Source organism: Homo sapiens, chromosome 9 (assembly GCF_000001405.40).
Source record: "Homo sapiens chromosome 9, GRCh38.p14 Primary Assembly".
Classification (NCBI taxonomy): Eukaryota; Metazoa; Chordata; class Mammalia; order Primates; family Hominidae; genus Homo; species Homo sapiens.
Window position 1 is genome coordinate 2,198,789 of NC_000009.12, and position 15,298 is coordinate 2,214,086.

Sequence of the window (15,298 nt, forward strand, 5' to 3'; positions counted from 1 at the left end):
TAGCCAGTAAGCTTTGCGAGGGTAGATGGCTTTAACTCTCAGCTCTACTTTAAGGATGTTTCAAGGTTTTATTCTTTTTTTTTGGCGCTATACTATTCTCTGCAACTTGCCTTTCTCGCTTAACAGTGCATTGAGTATTTTCCTCCAAGTCAACAGATAGAGATTGAACTCATTGTTTTTATTTTTCTCTATTTTAAAGAACACTTTAACTTTTTAATTATAAAATGGATTGTAGAAAAGATGGAAAGTAAGGAAAGTACAAAGAAAAAAATTTACTCATAATATTACCACTCAGAATCATTCATACTACCACTCAGAGAGAAGAGATTGAAAGTAAGAAAAGTACAAAGGAAAAAAATACTCATAATATTACCACTCGGAGAGAATCACTGGCGACTTCCAGTTTTTGGTACAGCTTGTATGGAACTTGGAAGTTATCTGTCACATACAACAAGTACAACCAGAAAAAAGCTGAACGAACTGAAAATTAACAACTCTTGTGAGATTTATCAAAGAACTGAGTTCATAGGGCAAACCACTGCCCCCAAAGCAGAAGAGACAGCCAGGCAGTATATTAGTCCATTCCTGCAGTGCTATGAAGAACTACCTGGAACGGGGTAATTTATAAAGAAAAGGGGTTGAAACTGACTCACAGTTTCACAGGCTGTACAGGAAGCATTTCTGAGGAGGCCTCAGGAAATGTATAATCATGGTGGACAGGGAAGGGGAAACAGGCACATCTTACATGGCAGAAACAGGAGGAAGAGAGCAAAGGGGAAGGTGCTACCTTCCCATACTCTTTTAAACAACCAGATCTTGTGAGAACTCACTATCATGAGAATAGCAAGGGGGAAATCTGCCCCCATGATTCAATCACCCCCTCACCAGGGTTCTCCTTGAAAATTGGGAATTAAAATTTGACATGAGATTTGGGCAGGGAAACAAATCCAAACCATATAAGTCCACCCCCAAGCCCTCCCAAATCTCATGTCCTCCTCACATTGCAAAATATAATCCTCATTTCTCAACAGTCCCCCAAAGTCTTAACTCATTTCAGCATTAACTCAAAAGTCCACAGTCCAAAGTCTCTCTAAGACAAGCAAAACAAAAAACAAGTTACTTACTTAATACTCCCGTTCCAAATAGGAGAAATTGGCCAAAACAAAGGGGTTACAGGACCCATGCAAGTCCAAAACCCAGCAGGATAGTCATTAAATCTTAAAGCTCCAAAATAATTTCCTTTGACTTCATGTCTTACATCCAGGCCACACCAATGCAAGGGATAGGCTCTTAAGGCCTTGGGCAGCCCTACCCCTGTGGCTCTGCAGGGCTCAGCTCCCATGGTTGCTCTCAAGAGCTGCCATTGAGTACCTGTGGCTTTTCCAGGTTCCTGGGGTCTGTAGAACAGTTGCCCTCTTCTCACAGCTCCACTAGGCGGCGCCCCAGTGGGGACTCTAAGTGGGGGTTCCAATCCCACATTTCCCCTCTGCACTGCCCTAGTAGAGGTTGTCCATAAGGGCTCTGCTCCTGCAGCAAACTTCTGCCTGAACATCCAGACATTTTCATATATCCTCTGAAATCTAGGCAGAGGCTCCCAAGCCTCAACTCTTGCCCTCTGTGTACCTGCAGGCTTAACACCACGTGAAAGCCACCAAGGCTTATGGCTTGCACCCTCTGGAGCACCAGCCTGACACGTATCTGGTGCCCTTTTAGCCATGGCTGGAGCTGGAGCCCCTGGGATGTAGGCAGCAGTATCCTGATGTGGGGCAGGGAATCAGGGCCCTGGGCCTGGCCTGTGAAATCGTTCTTCCCTCCTAGGCCTCTTGGCTGCCACAAAGGTCTCTGAAATGCCTTCAAGACATTTTCTCCATTGTCTTGGCTATTAACACTCATCTCCTCTTTACTTATGCAAATTTCTGCAGCTGGTTTGAATTCCTCCCCAGAAAATGGGTTTTTCTTTTCTACTACACGGTCCCGCTGCAACTTTTCTAAACTTTTATGCTCTGCTTCCCTTTTAAATATAAGTTCCAGTTTCAGATCATCTCTTTGTGTACACATATGCACATATGCTGTCAGAAGCAGCCAAGGCACTTCTTGAATGCCTTGCTGCTTAGAAATGTCTTCTGCCAGATACCCTAAATCATCTCTCTCAAGTTCAAAGTTCCACAGATCCCCAGATCAGGGGCCCAAGCCACTAGTCTTTTTGCTACAGTGTGGCAAGAGTGACCTTTACTTCAGTTCCCAATGTGTTCCTCAGAGGCTTCATTTGAGACCACCTCAGCCTGGACTTTATTTTTTTTATTTTTATTTTTATTTTTTATTTTTGAGAGCGAGTCATGCTCTGTCACCCAAGCTGGAGTGCAGTGGCGCGATCTTGGCTCACTGCAACCTCCGCCTCCTGGGTTCAAGTTATTCTCCTGTCTCGCCCTCCTGAGTAGCTGGGACTACAGGTGCGTGCCACCACACCTGGCTGATTTTTTTTATTTTTAGTAAAGACGGGGTTTCACCATGTTAGCCAGGATGGTCTCGATCTCCTGACCTCGTGATCTGCCCGCCTTGGCCTCCCAAAGTGCTGGGATTACAGGCGTGAGCCACTGTGCCTGGCAGCCTGGACTTTGTTGTCCATATCGCTATTAGCATTTTTGTTACAAAAATTTAACAAGTCTCTAGGAAGTTCCATACTTTTCTTCATCTTCCTGTCTTCTGAGCCCTCCAAGCTGTTCCAACATCTGCCCATTACCCAGTTCCAAGGTCACTTCCACATTTTCATGTATCTTTATAGCAATACCCCACTCTCTGTACCAATTTTCTGTATTAGTTTGTTCTCACACTGCTATTGAGAACTATCTAAGACTGGGTTATTTATAAAGAAAAGGGGTTTAATTGGCTCATGATTCCACAGGCTGCACAGGAAGCATGGCTGAGGAAGCCTCAGGAAACAATTATGGCAGATGGTGAAGGGGAAGCAGGCATGTCTCACATGGCAGAAGCAGGAGAAAGAGAGCCAGTGGGGTGGTGCTACACACTTTTAAACATCCAAATCTTGTGAGAACTCACTCACTATCACGAGAACTGCAAGGAGGAAATCCACCCCCAAGATCAAGCCACCTCCCACCAGGCCCCTCCTCCAACATTGGGGATTACAATTTGATGTGAGATTTGGACACAAACCCAAACCATATCAGGTGGATACCGAGAATCATGACCTACAGGAGTGGAAGTCCAAGAGTAGCAAACTCACCAGTACCAGAGGAAGAAAACTTAATCTATAACTAATGAATTGCTGGAGGTTCAGTGTGGACAGTTCGAGAGTAAAAAACTCCAGGGGACCCAGTCTTAAGGGGCCCACCCTTTGTGAATTTTACCCCCAGGAGCCTTATTAGATTCTCACAGGAGATTAGAACAGTATCACTTTGTATTTCCAGCAGTGGGAAGGGAAAAGCAAACATTTAAACATACACCAGAATATTCTGTTCTTCTTAATAGGCCTGCCTTCAAGAGAAACTGTTGTACCAGAGCCTAACTCATGTGGAAGAAGGGAAGTCCCAACTAGAGTATTCTCTAGCCTTCCTGTGTCTCTTACGGGGGCAAAATGAAAAAGCAAAACAGAAGCACTCATGAAGGTCACAACCCAGGTGCACAGGCTCACTAAGAGACTCAGACCTAATTGTAAGACGATCAACTGCTTTTTCTCCTCCTAATACCTCATCACCACATCAATAGGGCTTCTGTATAATAACAGGGCAATACAATGGAAAGGACTATACATAGCAGGTGATATTTTTAAAATCTCTAAGGAAACTCAAAAGCAACAAGAAAGACAAAAACAAGGACACCAGAGGAAAGTTTAGCTTCAGATACTTATAGCTACAGCAAACAGTAAAAACAGCCTAACCCCTAGCCAGATAAACATAAAACCTCACACTAAGGCCTATTTATCTCAGTTCTTTCTACCCTGTACATCCTGTGTGGCTTGAAACAAAAAATTACACTAAAATTTTTTTTTTTTAAAACATTTTGAAGAGACAGAGCAAGCATCAGAACCAGACTCAGATATGGCAGAGATGTTAAATTATCGCCATAAATTTAAAAGAACATAAATTTATAATTAATATGCTAAGTGTTCTAATGAAAGAACAAATGGGTAATGTAAACAGGTAAATGAAGACTCTAAGAATCAAAAGGAAATGCTAGAAATCAAAATTACTGTAACAAAAATAAAGAATGTCTCTGCTGAGCTCATTAGTAGACTGGACACAGCCAAGGAAAGAATTAGTGAGCTTAAAAGAAATGTCCATAGGAACTCCCAAAACTGAAATCCAAAAAACAAAAAAAACAAAAAAAACCTCCAAAAACCAATAAAACAGAACAGAACAACCAAGAACAGTAGCACAAGTATAAAAGGGACAACATATGCATAATGGAAATACCAGGAGAAAGAAAGAGAAAAAGGAACAGAATATGTGAAGCACTAGTGTCTGAGAGTTTCCCATACTAAAGATAAGTACCAAACTACAGATGCACAAAGCTCAGAGAACACCAAGCAAGATAAATGCCAAAAAAAATCTACATCTAGGCATATCATAATCAAACTGCAGAAAATCAAAGAAATAGAAAAAATATTGAAAGAAGCCAAAGGGGGGAAATGCCTTGCCTGTAGAGCAGCAAGTGTAAGAATCACATTAGACTTCTCTTCAGAAACCATGCAAGCAAGAAGAGAGTGGAATAAAACACTTAGTGTTGAAAGAATCACCAGCCAAGAATTCTGTACCCAGAGAAGTTATCCTTCCAAAATGAAGGAGAAATAAAAACTTTCTCAAATAAAAATTGAGGGAATTTATCAGCAGTAAATCTGCCTTGCAAGAAATGTTAAAAGTTTCCTTTAGAAAGCAGGAAAATGCTATAGGTCAAAAACTTGGATCTAGGTAAAGAAAGGAAGTATCAGAGAAGAAATACAGTAAAATAAAACCGTTTATTTCTCTTATTCCTAAGAGACAGGCAACAGTTTGTTCAAAATAATAATAGCAATAATGTATTCCACGATTACAGCTTATGGATAAATGAAATGAATGACAACAATGTTATAAGGGATGGACAGTGGCAGATGGGAGCACTTTATTATAAGGTACTTAAACTGCCCGTGTAGTTGCCTAGTATTATTTGAAAGTGAAGTTGGAAAAGCTGTAAAAGTATATTGAAAATTCTAGAGCAACCACTAAAAAAGTAATAATAAAAAACATATAATTCACATGCTAAGAGAGGAGAAAAGATAGAATCATACAAAATACTCAAAACCAGAGGAGGCAGAAAATTGGAAGACAAAAAAAGAAAAAACAAGAGCAACAACTGGAAAATAGTAACAAATATGGTAGGTATTAATCCACCTGTATCAATAATCACTGAAACATCATTTTTATTTATTTATTTAATTTTTTGAGACAGGGTCTCACTCTGTCACCCAGGTTGGGGTAAAGCGGTGCGATCATGGCTCACTGTAGCCTCGACCTCCTGGACTCAAGTGATCCTCCCACCTCAGCCTCCTGAGTAGCTAGGACTACAGGCGTATGCCACCATACTGAGCTAATTTTTAAAACCTTTTGTGGAGACAAAGTCTCATTTTGTTTCCCAGGCTGGTCTCGAATTGTTGGGCTCAAGCAATCCACCGGCCTCAGCCTCCCAAAGTGCTAGGATTACAGGGATGAGCCACTGCACTGACCTAAAACATTACTTTAAATATACAAACTTAAAAGACACAAACTGTCAAAGTATACCAAAAAACAGGACTCAGCTCTGTGTTGACTATAAGAAACTCACCTTAAATATAAAGACATACACAGATTAAAAGCAAAAGGATGGTGAATGATCTACCAAGCTAACATTAATCAAAAGAAAGCTGGAGTAGCTCTATTAATATCAGACAAACCAGACTTCAGAACAAAGAAAATTATCAGGGATAAAGAGGTGCATTACATAATGCAAAAAGAATTAATTCTCCAGAAAGAATCACTCTTTAATATTTATTTCATTTCCATTTTCTCCTGGTTATGTACCTTTGCCCCAGGTTAAGATATAATTCCCAAACAATAAAATTTGTTTATTGTAAAAGTAGAGTTATGGTACTTGTGTACAGTAACATAAGATACAGAGCATTTCAACACCCTAAAAGGTAGACTCATCCCCTTTGCAGTCAGTCTCTTACCCTCACCCCCAACCTCAGGTAACTACTGATCTGCTTTCTGTCACTATACTATTGCTTTTTCTAGGATCTCATATAAATGGAATCACACATTATGTAGTCTTTTGTGTCTGATTTCTTTCAATTAACATAAAGTTTTTGAAATTCATTTATGTTACGGTATTTTTGTACCTTTTCTAAATGTTGTTTCCAGCTCTTGGCTATTAAAAATAAGGCTGCTGTGAACATTGACACACAAATCTTTGTGTGAACATGTTTTCAATCCTCTTAGGCAAATACTGAGAAATGAGATTGCTATATATGGTAAGGATTTAGCCTTATACGATGATAGCAACTGAATATCTGTATGAGAATAAAAATGAACCTCAACCTTTACTTACCTCATACCATGCACAAAAGCTAACTCAAAATGAATAAAAATGGATCATAAAATTAAGAGATAAAAGGTTACATTTCCAGAAAAAAAAAGAAAATTTTTGTGGTATTGAATTAGATAAAGATTTCTTAAGCAGGACACAAAAACATGAAGCAATAAAGAAAATGTTGATAAAATGCACTTCTTCAAAATTAAAAACCTTTGCTCTTTGAAGCAGATGGTTAAGAAAATGACAAGGCAAGCCACAGACTAGGAAAAAACATTCACAGCATATATCTGAAAAAGAGCTTGTCCCTTGAATTTTTATATGTAAAGATCTCTTACAATTCAACAAACAAACAAGCTACGCAATAAAACCATGGGCAAAAGATTTGAACAGATACTTCACAAAGGAAGATGTATGAATGGCCAATAAGCACATGTAAAGAAGTTCAACATCTCTCATCAGAGAAAAGCAAAATAAAGCCACAATGAAATACCACTACATACCTACTAGAATGGCTACAGGTAAAAAGATTGACAGTAGGGAGCATTAACAAGAATGGAGCAACTGGAATTTATACATTGGGCAAAAGGGTATAATCACTTTGAAACTCATTCTTTTTAATAGCTGTATGATATTCCAGTGTGTAAGTGTGTCATGTTTAGATAACCTTTGCTCTTCTAACAGAGATGTGGGGTGACATCAGTTGGGGTTCTTCTCCTCCATTATAAATAATTCTCACAAATAAGTGAAACCCATTCTTGCTACAATTTTTGTCTCTAGTTTTTAAAACAATAAGCCAATTTTCTTTCTTTCTTTTTTTTTTTTTTTTTTTTTTTTTTTTGAGGCAGAGTCTCACTGTGTTGCCCAGGCTGGAGTTCAGTGTCAGGATCTTGGTTCACTGCAACCTCCACCTCCTGGGTACAAGTGATTCTCATGCCACAGCCTCCCGAGTAGCTGGGTTTACAGGCATGTACCACTATGCCTGGCTAAATTTTGTATTTTTAGTAGAGTCAGGGTTTCACCATGTTGGCCAGGCTGGTCTCAAACTCCTGGCCTCAAGTGATCCGCCTGCCTCAGCCTCCCAAAGTGTTGGGATTACAGCCATAAGCCACCCCATCTGGCCCCGGTTTACCTTTATATCATTGCTGGAAACATTGTATTTCCAATTACAGTGGATTAAAATAAAAAAAAAAAACTAACAATGACTGCCTTTTTTCCTCAATCATGTTTATGCTTAGCTAAAGCTTCCAGATACTTATTTTCTTAAAAAGTCCATCTTCCTCTTCTTTTAAAGACGACCTGCAAAATTACGTTCCTTGTCTTCTTTTCCTTTAAGCCTCTTATTTGGTGAAGGAGATGCTGAGTTTTCTCTCAGCTGCTTCTGCTCCTTAATTTAGTTGCACATAGAAAGGGTTTCTTCAGAAAGCAAACAACCCATATTTTCCCTAGCATTCAACTTTGTAAAATGGTCAGTGTGCTTCTGGAAAGCAAAGTTTTCAAATAGCAGGGCCTTGAGTCTAGTTCCTTGCCAGCTCCCTGAGCTGACAGGAAGAATCTCAAGAAAAAGTACAAGCTTTTTCTTCACCCCTAGGCTTCTGGAGAAATTTCCTCAGGCTGGTAGCTCTTGGGAAAACTGGCCCATAAAGGTGATACCAGTTTAAATTACCTCTCTGTGGTGAGGAGACTAGTTTGCTGTTTGCTAAGGTTTAATAGAAATATCATTATTTCACTCATTTTGAGTAGGTTTGGCATGTGGAATATTTGGAGTGTGACTGCTAGTGAATGTGTCTCTGGAGAGGGACAGCCTGATAGTAATAATGTACATTTAAAAAGTCCAGATAATTTATACTCATTATAACATTTTTAAGCTGTTTGATTTGGAAATGTAGGCTCTATTTAAGAGCATTCAATATTACAGATTCAAGCATGAGCGCCATATATAAATAACTAATGCTTCCAGGAAAGGACCACACTAATGGACTGTCAGAAAACACAATGCAGTTTCTTTGTCCTACAAGAGTATTAGAAAGGGATTGCACTATATTTGCACGCCACGATGCATTCCAGGTGTGTAATTCTGAACACACTTTCATCAGTGGGCATTTGAATCATCCAACCTAGCAGAATTTTTTTTTTTTTTTTTTTTTGGAACAGAGTCTTGCTCTGTCGCCCAGGCTGGAGTGCAATGGCATGATCTCGGCTCACTGCAACCTCTGCTTCCTGGGTTCAAGCAATTCTCGTGCCTCAGCCTCCAAGTAACGGGATTACAGGCATGCGCCACCACATGGGCTAATTCTTATATTTTTAGTAGAGATGGGATTTCACCATGTTGCCCAGACTGGTCTTGAACTCCTGACCTCAGGTGATCCATCCACCTCGGCTTCTCAAAGTACGGGGATTACAGGCGTGAGCCACTACGCCCGACCAACCTAGCAGAATTTCTACAGACTTACTGGAAACATCACTGGGAGTCCAAGTTTTTAATAAATACCAAAATAGGGACAGTTTCCCTAAGGTCGAATACCAGTTTCCACTGCTTTCAAAGTCTATTCCCAACTTTCAGCCTGTTTATCTCCTTTAATGATCTTCTTTTTAAAAATATATTGAAGGTACCTGATGCCATGTCCTTTGCTCAAAACTGCGGAAACGACCAAGGCTAGTAAACTCAGTACCTGCATCTCCTGTGTAGAATCACAAAAACCCTTACCTGCCCATTCCAATACACTCCTCTCCAAAGCCAAAGCCAACTTTTTTTTTTTTTTTTGGAGACAGGGTCTCTGTCACCCAGAGTGGAGTGTAGTGGCGCTATCACAGCCCACTGCAATCGTGACCTCCCTGGGCCAAAAAGGTGATCCTCACATCTCAGCCTCCCATGTAGGGGGACTACAGGAGTATGCCACCACTCTTGGCCAATATTTTTTTGTATTTTTTAGAGAATGGGGTCTCACTATGTTGCCCAGGTTGGTCTTGAACTCCTAAGCTCAAGCAATCTGCCTGCCTTGACCTCCCAAAGTGCTGGGATTACAGGCATGAGCCACCGTGCCTGGTCTCAACATTCTTATTAAAAGGAAAATCTGATGTGGTAACTAACTAGCTTAAGACCCCTGCAGTGGTGTCTCATTACCCAATGAGTACCAAAGTCTTTTACCTGCTTTATAAAGCTGAGCAAGTGTAAACCACAGCATCTGGCCTTGGTTACAGAACGGATGATAATCACAACTTGGATTTGGTTCAAAGTTGTTTCACCTCTGTTAACTTCCAAGCAACCAAGCAAGCAGTATATAAAGGTTGTAGACCAGATAAGGATACTAGTACATCAGCACCCCAGGCAAAGATACCAGCATGTGACACACTACTCTGCAGCCTCCCGTCAGCAGCTTACAGAGGGATATTTATAGTCAGCACAGCCCATACAGAATGAGAAGCCCACTGGGTCAGAGCAGCTCCGTCCCCAAAAGACCTTATACGATGTGAGAACTGGAGATATTCCATATAAGCCAATATAAATACACTAAATCCATATATTTTTACATCTTTGAAAGACATCAATGCCTTTCAATCTATGATGTCATAATTTTAATTGGCAACAATTTTCCTTTCTTAATAATAAATAAAATAAAAACACATTTACAATTTATGGTACCTTAGATTGTGGCTTTCTTTTCCTTTTTAAACACAGATTTTATGTAGCATAATATATGCACTTTCCTGCACCTTACTTTTTTCACATAATTTACCTTATCAAACATTCATATCAGTGCACAAAGAGCTGCCTCATTCTTCCTAACCACTGCATGTATTTCATCATATTGACACTTCCACATTGATGGGACAGTCTGGTCATTTGTAGTATGTGTTTATTTATTGCTGCTGAAAAGGATGAGTGCTATAAGGAACTGAGAGCCAAGTGCAATGGGGACACAGAGACCAGGGGTAAGGACTTGAAGGTTTTGTTGTAGATGTAAAATCAGAATTGAGACTGGAAGGAGGGGGAGACATGAGACAGGACAAACTGTTCTTGAAATTTTCATCTTGGTAGGCCATCAGAAAGTAACTCACCATCTGCCTTTGAAAAAGTGGGCTTAGAATGTGCAGCTTTCAAACAATTCACATGAAATGTCTGCCCAAAGCTTCTCTTATCTGCTCAAAGCCCATTCAGCAATCATGGAAGAGTCATTCTTATCTCACTGTCTTCAGAGGGTATTAGAAATAGTCATTACTCATTTCCTTCATCAGGCTGACAAAGGACACGTGGAAATGGATCTGAAAGGGGAAATAGTGAAGGACTTTATTTGATGATGACGATGATGATGATTTCAACAAGACTGAGAAACTTGCAGTGGGCTCTTGGAGAGAAGTGAAAGCATGAGGGCTGAAGGATGAAGGTTGGGGTAAAATAAACTGAGAAAGTGAAAAAAGTTAAATCAAAGTGGCCCCAGCCTGAAGAAACTCCAGCCATCCTGTTCTTGTGCATTCAGATTCAGGAAGAGCAGCATTTTAAAACACCACCAAAACAGCAGCAGAGTAAAGGCTAGCTAATTCCTTAACTTGGCCCCATCTTCCCACTCTAGTTCCCCTTGGATTGTGACAAAAATGGCAATACACACACACACACACTTATTTGAGTCTATGCAATAGATTTATGAGGTAGACACTATTATTATTTCTCTTCTACAGACAAGAAAATGGAGGCTTAGAGAACTGAAGTCACTTGCCCAGGGTCACTCAGCTAGCAAATAATTGAGCTGGGATACAACTCCAGGAAGACCAGCTCCAGAGTCCTTGCTCCTAACTAGTACTTCAATTAGAACTACAAGCTGCCCCTAAGGGTTTTCTGTACTAGACTATACACTCCTTTGAAGACACAGATTATGTTACTCATGTTTGGGTGAAACTTCCCCCTTCACCCAGCTAAGAAATATGCACTGAATAAATATATTAATTGAATATACAGAATGTCAACGCCAGTCCAGCATCTTCCTGCTGGATTATTCCATCCAGTCTCAGTGTGTATAATCTGGCATCCCTTCATTGTATGAGACATACTCCAGTCAGTGTTTGTCTAAAACACCAATCTGATCTGACTTGTCATCCTGCTTAGATCATTTTGAGGGTTTTTTTTTCCTTGCTCTCAAAATATAGATCTTTAGAGCATGACCTACAAAGTCTTGTAAGGCTTGTTGTTCTCTGCCTTACAAAATAGACTGTAGACTAGCACTCGGCAATGGAAATACAATACATGGAATTTTGAATTTTCTAGTAGACAGATTTTAAAAAATAAAAAGAAACAGATGAAATGAATTTCAATTATATATTTTACTTAACCCAATACATTCAAAATATAATTTCAGCATGTAATCAATATAAAAAATATTATTGAGATAGTTTACATTTTGTTCGTACAAAATCTTTGAAAACCCGTATGTATTTCACATGTGGCACACGTCTCAGTGTGGAGAATCAACATTTCAGGTATTTAATGGCCCATGTACCTACCATATTGAATAGCACAGCTGTAAGCCTAGGGGTTCTCAAACTTCAGCTGCATCAGAATCACCAGGAGGGCTGATTAAATCACAGATTGCAGGGCCATCCACAGCATTTTTGATTCATTAGGTGTGAGGTGGACACTGAGGATTTGCATTTCTGAGAAGCTCACAGGTGATGCTGATGCTGGTCTCTGAACCACACTTGAAGAATCATTGCTCTAGATCAGATATTATCAACTAGTAGCCACAGGTTGGATCCAGCTGGCAGACCATGTTATTGGACCACACTATGTTTAAAACATTTCCTAATAACTAACATTTAAAAATTGGCCAATTTCTCATAAAAATCCAGACTCCAAGTTTCTGTTGGAAAATTTATAAATATAATAATATAGGGCTATCCTTCTGCCTGGCAGTAACCAGCAGGAGCTAACTTGCAGGTGCCTTTTTTTTTTTTTTTTTTTTTTGAGACGGAGTCTGGCTCTGTCGCCCAGGCTGGAGTGCGGTGGCGCGATCTCGGCTCCCTGCAAGCTCCGCCTCCCGGGTTCACGCCATTCTCCTGCCTCAGCCTCCCAAGTAGCTGGGACTACAGGCGCCCGCCACTACGCCCGGCTAATTTTTTGTATTTTTAGTAGAGACAGGGTTTCACACTGTTAGCCATGATGGTCTCGATCTCCTGACCTCGTGATCCGCCCGCCTCGGCCTCCCAAAGTGCTGGGATTACTACAGGTGTGTGTGAGCCACCGCGCCCGGCGCAGGTGCCCTTTCTTGAAAGGTCATGAAAGCTCACTTTACTTATTCACATTACTGAGACCCCTGTTGTAATTGGGCTTCCATTCCAAACCCTAGACCTTCTTGGGCTCCTTTCACTTCCTAAACACATCAAGCTCTCTCTCTTGCCTCTGGGACTTTGCACATGTGGTTTTCTCTATCCTGGCTAACTCACTTAGCCCTCTGGCTTCAGAACAGATACCACTCTCCAGAAAGCCTTCCCTGCTGTCTTCATGATTGAGTGTAAATGCTTCTTCCGTGCGTTTCCACAGAAGCCCTGTGTTTTTCCCATCAAAGCCATTACACCTTACTATAATGTCTCAGTGGCTTACCTGCCCTCCCCATCATTCTGAGTTTTGCCATCATTACGAGTTTTCTGAAGGAAGGGAACCACTTCTTTCTTATTCACCACTGTATATTCATAATACCTAGTCCAGTAACAGACTGGCACATGGCAGGTGTTTAATAAATAATTATTGACCAAATGGATGAAGATATAAAACAGCTAGAAGAGGTCTTTAAATGTTACTGCCCAACCTTTGACTTTCTCCTAGGTGGCTGCAATGGAATCTCAGTTTTAATCCTAATTCTAGAAGCAACAATAACAAAAAGCAAATTGCAAATTTTAATTAACTTACTCTTAAAACTGAAGCTCAAGAAGAAAAATGAATTTAAACTCCTTAATTATTTAAAATATTCCACAAGTTTGAGCTTGAGCTTTATTTCACCCTGCTTAGATTTACTTAAAGCCAGAAATAAAGAAATGAAGTACAATACTATTACATGATCAAGTTGCAGACTCCTCCTGCATATTGGCTGTACTGCACCATCATCTTACCAGTTTAAAATTAACAGAAAATTCTTTCCTCAGAATAGAAGAGTCAATATTATTTTAGAGACCCTTGGAAAAAGTTTAGAGGGGCAGGGGAGATGAAATAAGGGAAAGAAATTGAGATTCTATGTCCACACTAACATAGTCAGTGTACTAAGCACTTAGGGAATCGGGAAGATATGAAAGAAATTTTCCTCTTAAGGAGCTCATTGTCTACTAGAGGTGATAAGACATGGACCCAAGTAAATGTAATATAAGATGGGAAGAGGCAAGTATTATGTGATAGGTGAAGAATGTCTTATGGGAATTCAGAGAGAAAAGGCTCTTCCTGCCTGGGGAGAGAGTTGGAAATTTTGCCTGCTGTATGTCACATCTGACCTGGTCTTGCAATAAAATTTAAAATATACACGTCCTTCAGGAAATTAAATTTCTTGTCAAGTACATTCAAAAATATTTTTTTCAAAATGTAAAGTATATAAGAAAGTAGGTTAGCTTAAGAAAAAGGAGCACTGTACAGAGGCCCTGGGAAGTGAGATTTTTAGACCCAGATCTTTCTGGGCCTGAGTTTTCTCATCTGTAAGCTGAGCTGATAATAAATTATCTCTAAAGTCCTTTCTGATGCTGTCATTCAATGAGTGTCTATATTCTATTTTTTATGCTGATTAGACTTTTGTAGTTAAATGCAATTAGTTTTGCTATGTGCTTCATCATAAATCCAGGTTTTTGGAATCCTTCATTATGCAGAGGCAGTCATGTCTTATTGCTTAGGAGAAAAATGAATTGTCAACTTTATACTGAAGAAAATGATTAGAGATTATGTGTCTGGAGGGGAAAAGCAATTCTTATTCAAAAGTTAAATAATAACTTCAGATCTTGCAAAAATATTGAATGTTTGGAGTCAGGTAATTAAAGAAAAAAGATTGCATGTGTGTAAGTTCCCAGATGCAATGGAAATAGGCAAAGCATATGTCATTAAATACACGGTACTTTATTAGTCTTGACTAGGTAAGCGGAGCAAAGGAAGAAAGAACTTGCTGATATATTTTGTCCAATTTATTAACTCCTGGAAAACGGCACTCAGTCTATTGCAAGAAAAGCCTTTGCTGATGAGCATGACCAGAATTTGCATACTTTCTTGTTTACATAACACTTATTCTTTACTAGTGGGCATATTTGCTTATAAGCTGTTAAGCAGGGTATTGGAAGGCCTCTATGGAACTTCACTTATCAGTGATATTTTGCTTAACCTAACTACATGCCAGGTATGTAGTTCAGTGACACTTAAGGACAAAGGTGGAGTCACTCCCCAAACTTAACATCAAAACAACTCTCTAAGAAGCAAGCCTGTGGACATAAGAAACCTCAAATTGATTTGTTATTTTGAAAAGTCACTTGCTTCACTGAAATTTGGGAACACAGGGAAGATTCCCCAACTATGGGATGCCTAAAGCAATACTGACGCAGCATCTTTCCTTTGGAGCCACAGTAAAAATACAGTCTTCTGTCTGATCCATGGAATGAAAACAACTCAAAGGCAAGAGGAAGTATACACAGCTCAGGGCACACCCAGGGGCCTGGGCTCCCTGTTCTTCCCAGCTCAGGCACTAGTTTAGCTGCTTCACAATGGGTTTGGCAGTTGAAGCACCAT

General features: G+C 39.9%; 1 long non-coding RNA gene across 2 annotated transcripts in view, besides 1 other annotated feature; it reads right to left on the reverse strand.

The window, feature by feature from the left end:
* The window catches only part of LOC107987043 (uncharacterized), a 70,735-nt gene that overhangs the window by 26,904 nt on the left and 28,533 nt on the right, over positions 1-15,298 (reverse strand). The window lies entirely within an intron of this gene.
* Positions 1,644-2,220: an enhancer, noted in NCBI's record as "OCT4-NANOG-H3K27ac hESC enhancer chr9:2200432-2201008 (GRCh37/hg19 assembly coordinates)". NCBI's record gives its function as "activates a minimal SCP1, AML or CMV promoter by ChIP-STARR-seq in naive H9 embryonic stem cells {active_cell/tissue: H9 hESC(naive)}" and the evidence as "EXISTENCE:reporter gene assay evidence [ECO:0000049][PMID:30033119]".